Here is a 6,539-nt window from a genome sequence, read left to right as displayed (position 1 = left end):
TGAACATCTATGAGCAGGTTTTAAAGCCAAGATGAGTCTCATCTGTTTGTGTGGGTCAGGAACGGGTCTTCCTGAAGGCATGAGGTGGGACTGGATAATCTTTCAGATTTGTGATTGGATACCTCGGGGGAGCAGAGGCAGACTGGGATCTCAGGACTGCAGGTATTTCATACTTTGGGATATGGAATTGATGGAGGTGGAGAATATTGGGGATAAGGACTGAATGAAGAAAGGAGTAGGACAACGCAGGACAACAGTAGTCTTAAGATTTTCACTACACTTTACCCGGCACTAGTGATAGATAAACTCTTCTGACCCTAACCATCACCGTGTGAGATGGGGAGGGTGGTTATCTACCCAGGTCCCACAGGCAAGGAAACAGATGATCAGAGAACTTAAAGATTTGGCCGGGTGCAGTGGCTCATGCCTGTAATCCCAACTCTGGGAGGCCGAGGCAGGAGGACTGCTTGAGCCCAAGAGTTTGGGACCAGCCTGGGCAACATAGTGAGACACTGTCTCTAGAAAAAATTAGCTGAGTGTGGTGGCTTGTGAGGCTGAGGCCAGTGGATCACTTGAGCCCAGAAGGTCAAGGCTGCAGTTGCACCATTGCACTCCTGCCTGGGTGACAGAGAAAGACCCTGTCTCAATAAAAAGAGCTTAAAGATTTGCCTAAGGGTCCGAAGTAACAGTGGCAGAATTGTGGTTGTAAACCACTGAATTGGAATCACTGGAGGGCAAAGCTTTGGCATCTCTAGAAAAATTCCTACAAACAATTCTCATTTGCAGTCAGAATTAAGAACCACCAACCCAGGCTTTCTGCCTAAGCCAGTGCTGTGTCCAGAGCAAGCACTGTCCCACAGAAAGCCATAAGAATCATACGCTGCTTAGTGTATGCTTAAAGTTGTAAGCTTTTGGAAAGCGAGGCCAGTTTGAGGTAAATTTGGAGACAGAGATATTTTAGGAGAGCCTCACCAAGTATATTCCATTAGGAAAGGTGAGAACCCTGGGAGTCTGAAGGGTCCAAGGTCACACCAGGAGAAAAGGGATGGCATGTACCTAAGGAAGAGGGAACCCCCACACTCCTCATCTTGGGAACTCCCATGGCCTTCTTGAAGAAGGCTTGCAAAAGAGCAGAGAATAAGAGGTGTCTCTGGAGGCCCAGAGAGTACTAGGGGGAAGCTCTAGGTATGCACATAAATCCGGCAAGTTACAGTTCTGCCCACTATCAGTGCCAAGTCCTTGTGACTCAGTGGCTTGGTGGGGACTCTTTCTTATTGGTTGCTTCTAGGAACTCCACCCAGCTTCAGCAGGGGACACACTTCCCTCTACACTTCCTGTCACTCCTTCTGTCCACTTAGGTAATGGAAACTTGTTTTTAGGGAGCAGCCAGCTGAGACACATGGTCCCTGTATACTTGAACAGCCATGGAAAAGCTGCAAGGCAGCTTGGCGCTCCCTGGTGATAATTACTTCATCTCATCTCAACAAATCAGATTCTCAAGACCAGCTGCTCCCCGGACTTGCTTATTCTTTGTTCCAAGGAGACAGTTCCCAATGGATGTGCCCCTGTGAAAACACCCTAGTAAACATTTGCTTTGTTATTGAAATTTCACTCTAAAATCCCAAAGCTAGGTCAAGCCCCATTGCTAGTTTTACTGATGAAGAAATCAAGGCATTTTTAAAAGAGTAACTTGTTGAGTTGGCGGGTGCTTGGGTCTTTTCGGTTTCTGTGGCTTCCAGGGGTGGGCCTCTGAGATGGCCCTTAGCAGATGTCCTGCGATGCACTGCACGCCTCTTGTTGAAAGCATCAGGGGTGACCTGCCTGCGTCTGGAACCACAGCAGCTTCAACTTCCTCCACACACTTCCTTCTGTGGGAAGGTGACCAGCACAAACCCGCTCTGAAAAGTCTTGGGGACCAAATCTCTGTCTGAGAGGAAGGTAGGTGCAGTTCATCCACTAAGTTTATCCACCTGTTCTGTGACTCCTCTTCACCATTCTCCCAGCAACGACTGAGCCTCATGACTTGGGGGCTGGGGGATGAGGTGGAGGTGGGGGATATAATATAGGAGATGGTACAGTGCAGGGGCAGAGGCTGGTGTGTTCTCCAGGACAAGTGGCACCACGCACTGAAAGACTTTTCAAGATAAACACAACTTTGTCTCTTCAGCCTGGCAAGAGCTGAGGCACTGAAAACTTCTTTTTTCCCCTAGAAAATGACACACTCTCCTCCTAAGGGTCCCTTTGATTTTGTCCTGGTGGAAAGCAACAAAGAGAAGAACGTGAACAGGAATATGTATATTTCAGTTGTCATCTGAGTCCCATGGATAGGAGGCTCAATTCTCTTCTTCATCTTTCAGATCTCCGCAGACCCTGCCCTCTCACTGTACAATTCAGAGATTGACACTCAGCAGGCATTCAATAAACGTCTGTGTCAAATGAGAACAACTTGATGGGGCAAGTAGGAGTCAATCCTGCATCCCTCCCTCCCTTTTTTTCCTCTCCATTCGACCTTTAGGGCTCTGGTTTCCTGTAAGCAGTGAATTATTTACCTCTGCTCATAGATATCAAATTGGCCCTTCCCAGGTTGCAGCAGGGTGGGGCGGGGAGGCGGCCTTGTTCAGTCTGTTAATAGGAGGAGCAACCTCCTTGTTCAAACAGCACTTACAGGTGGGGACCTGTTTTTGCTAAGTCATCCTGGGGATGCTCAAAGCTCCATTGTTAGATCCTTTCTGTCCTCCTTCCTGGCTCCTCCTTCCTCCCCACCCCTCTAATAGGCTCATAAGTGGGCTCAGGCCTCTCTGCGGGGCTCACTCTGCGCTTCACCATGGCTTTCATTGCCAAGTCCTTCTATGACCTCAGTGCCATCAGCCTGGATGGGGAGAAGGTAGATTTCAATACGTTCCGGGGCAGGGCCGTGCTGATTGAGAATGTGGCTTCGCTCTGAGGCACAACCACCCGGGACTTCACCCAGCTCAACGAGCTGCAATGCCGCTTTCCCAGGCGCCTGGTGGTCCTTGGCTTCCCTTGCAACCAATTTGGACATCAGGTGAGGGGTCCCTCCTTGTAATGCACCAAAAGTGTTGGGTTGGTGTAGCTCAGGTGGGATAAAAGGAGAGGCTGAATGACCATGTTTTGGAGTGTCTGGAATAATGGGGTATGTTTTGTTAAGCTAGGTCTTTAGGTGCATGTGACATACCAAGAGAAGGTATATATTTTTTAAGATTAAACACTGAGGCTGTGTGATTTTTATAGTTTACTGTCTTTCTACTATATTACTCCATGAGGGCTGGTTCCAGGTCTGTGTTTCTCTCCACTGTGTCCTCAGTGCCTAGGGCACAGAAAGCACTCATTAAATATTTGTTGAATAAATGAGTGGAGAAAGTAGAGGCCAGGAATCAAACAAGAATTGGACAGACTCAAGAGACCTTAGCTCTAGCTGGACTTGGTTTTGCTATTTAATGGCTCTGTGCCCTCGGAAAGGGCGCTTCATTTTTCGGTTTAGTTTCCTCATCTGTAAATTGGGGATAATACCACTTAGCTCATAGGATTATTATGATGTTTAGGGGACAGGATATACAAAAGTAACTTGAAAAATATAAAGTACTATGCAAATGCAAGCAAACTGTTATTTAGATTGAGGATGATTTTTGTTGGTTTAAATTAGCCAAGTGGAAAGAAAATAAGCAGGAAAGAGAAAGGTTTTCAAAAGGCACGTGCCTCTGGGCATTACATGCACCTATTTCTGATTAATGGGTCAAGCTGTTATAGATCTTCAGCCCACACACCTCGAGTTCTCTTTTAGGGATTCTTCTATTTCCACCTATGATTTTAACGTACAAGCAGGGAGAATGAACCCAAGCGAACCCTCTCGTTATAATCCCCTTAGTTCAATTCACAGTGGTATGAAGGTGAGGAAGACAGGAAAGCAGGAAGGCTGAAGCATCACTGGCTGTGACAAACCTGAGCCCAAACTGTTCACTGCTCTCACTGTTCTTCCCTAAGTTTTCTGTCTGGCCTTTTCTAGAGCAGGAGAGACAGAAGTAGCAAACCCTCTTTCGAGATGTCCCTCCAGCCCCAGAAGTACCTCCAGCCTCACACCATCTCTTCAGCCTAGCAAGTTGCTGGAGGGAGTCTATAACCTACCAGGAGCCAGCCAGCCATTTGTATCAAGAAATAGAAATCTGCCAGGGTACAGTGGCTCACACCTATAATCCCAGCGCTTTGGGAGGCTAAGGTAGGCAGATTGCTTGAGCTCAGGAGTTCAAGATTAGCCTGAGCAACATGGTGAAACCTTGTTTCTACAAAAAATTGCAAAAATTAGCCAGGCATGGTGGCATGTGCCTGTAGTCACAGCTACTTGGGACGCTGAAGTAGCAGGATCGCCTGAGCCTGGGAAGTCGAGGCTGCAGTGAGCTATGATTGTGCCACCGCACCCCAGCCTAGGTGACAGAGTGAGGCCCTGTCTCAGGAAAAAAAACAGAAACAAAAACAGAGAAGTCCACTAGAGATCAGCTCTGGGCTCATGATGTCATGATGGCCTGGAACTGACTGAACTAGTTAGTTCTCACAGGTCAGAAGCAGGAACTTTCTCCCAGAGGAAGGTATCTGTCTGTTAAATTGGAAAGGTAGAGGTGGAAAAGAAGGGTTCCCATAGGCCTTTTGGATTGTCATGAATGGTGATGCTGAGAGGGAATAGGACAGGGATGGCAGTGGGGAGGGAAAGGCAGGGACCAGGTTTTGAGCCAAAGCATGCGTAGCTGAGAGCAGTGAGTGGATAGGAGGTGCAGCAGTCTTTGGGTAGCAGCCTACTCAAGAAAAGAATGATAATTACATACTCACAATCTTTAGCCATCAAGCACTTATTTCCTCAACTCCCCCTCCCCCTGGCCTATTGCCAAACCCTAAATCCTGTATCCTATTTACTTCATGCCTGTTGGTTACTAAGTAGTTCCATTTAGAGTACACATTCATTGTTGCCTTGAACTTGCTCTGCTGTTATGGCACCTGAAAACTAGATGTTCTTGGATGGGGGTCTTCCTTCATCAAAGCTTCTTCCCATTTGTACTTCAGTTCTAGGACAAGGCAAGAAGAAAGCAAGAAGCTGTAAATCCCATTCCTCTGGGTCTCAATTTCACCCTCAGTTCAAGGAGCTGAGTAGGCAGAGGCAAAGGCTATACTCAACACACGTGCAATTGAAAGCAGGCGAGGCAAAACCAGGGCAGAGGAAAGGAAAGGGGTGTGTGTGTAGGTATGGATTTATGGGTAGGTGGGTCGGTAGGTTAGTTGAAGAGGAGGTTCTAAGCAGTATAACCTAAGCCTCTTTTCTCTTTCTTCTGCTTCAAACACCTTAAGAACTGCTCAGGGTAGACTGGAGACAAAAGCAACAGCTCAGAAGTGCTAAATCTTGAAGAGCAGCCAAAGCATGGGCAACAAAGTGAGACCCCATCTCTACAAAAAAAAAAAAAAATTAGCCGGGCATGGTGGCCTGTGTCTGTAGTCTCAGCTACTAAAGAGGCTGAAGCAGGAGGAATGCTTGAGCCCAGAAGTTCAAGGCTGCAGTGAGCAACACCTCGTCTGTCTTGTCTCTCTCTCTTTCACAGTGAAAAAGAATGACCCTGGGGAGGGAGTGTAGGAGGGTGAAAGAGTTTCATGTTGTGGATCTTTCTCTTCCCCCACCCACTGTCCACGCACTTTGTCTTTTTCCTCCCCTAGGAGAACTGTCAGAATGAGGAGATCCTGAACAGTCTCAAGTATGTCCGTCCTGGGGGTGGATACCAGCCCACCTTCACCCTTGTCCAAAAATGTGAGGTGAATGGGCAGAACGAGCATCCTGTCTTCGCCTACCTGAAGGACAAGCTCCCCTACCCTTATGATGACCCATTTTCCCTCATGACCGATCCCAAGCTCATCATTTGGAGCCCTGTGCGCCGCTCAGATGTGGCCTGGAACTTTGAGAAGTTCCTCATAGGGCCGGAGGGAGAGCCCTTCCGACGCTACAGCCGCACCTTCCCAACCATCAACATTGAGCCTGACATCAAGCGCCTCCTTAAAGTTGCCATATAGATGTGAACTGCTCAACACACAGATCTCCTACTCCATCCAGTCCTGAGGAGCCTTAGGATGCAGCATGCCTTCAGGAGACACTGCTGGACCTCAGCATTCCCTTGATATCAGTCCCCTTCACTGCAGAGCCTTGCCTTTCCCCTCTGCCTGTTTCCTTTTCCTCTCCCAACCCTCTGGTTGGTGATTCAACTTGGGCTCCAAGACTTGGGTAAGCTCTGGGCCTTCACAGAATGATGGCACCTTCCTAAACCCTCATGGGTGGTGTCTGAGAGGCGTGAAGGGCCTGGAGCCACTCTGCTAGAAGAGACCAATAAAGGGCAGGTGTGGAAACGGCCAGCCTGTGTGTGTGTTCTTTGACAGAGGGCGGAGGGAAGCTACAAACTGCAGGTGGGATAGAGGAGCTGCTAGCACACAAAGCTTTGGGAGGGGAGGATCTGACGGATCAAGGGATGCCCTAATTACTGACAGGAAAGCAA

The 6,539-nt window shown here is 48.2% G+C and overlaps 2 protein-coding genes across 6 annotated transcripts in view; one reads left to right on the top strand and one right to left on the bottom strand.

Annotated features, from left to right (window-relative positions):
- CHURC1-FNTB (CHURC1-FNTB readthrough) overlaps positions 1-6,539 on the bottom strand; it is a 148,295-nt gene that overhangs the window by 117,105 nt on the left and 24,651 nt on the right. The window lies entirely within an intron of this gene.
- GPX2 (glutathione peroxidase 2) lies at positions 2,806-6,393 on the top strand. 4 transcript variants are annotated; one of them, NR_046320.2, is made up of 3 exons: positions 2,806-3,046; positions 5,353-5,558; positions 5,713-6,393. NR_046320.2 is itself a non-coding variant. In NM_002083.4 (2 exons), the coding sequence occupies exons 1-2, from the start codon at positions 2,825-2,827 to the stop codon at positions 6,061-6,063; spliced, it is 573 nt and encodes a 190-aa protein (NP_002074.2). In that variant the 5' UTR covers positions 2,806-2,824; the 3' UTR covers positions 6,064-6,393. The 4 variants fall into 4 exon arrangements, 1 of the variants encoding a protein (NP_002074.2); NR_046321.2 differs by lacking the exon at positions 5,353-5,558 and adding an exon at positions 4,030-4,234; NR_138078.2 differs by lacking the exon at positions 5,353-5,558 and adding an exon at positions 4,025-4,234.

Source organism: Homo sapiens, chromosome 14 (genome assembly GCF_000001405.40).
Source record: "Homo sapiens chromosome 14, GRCh38.p14 Primary Assembly".
NCBI lineage: Eukaryota > Metazoa > Chordata > Mammalia > Primates > Hominidae > Homo > Homo sapiens.
This window is presented reverse-complemented; position numbering and strand designations above follow the sequence as displayed.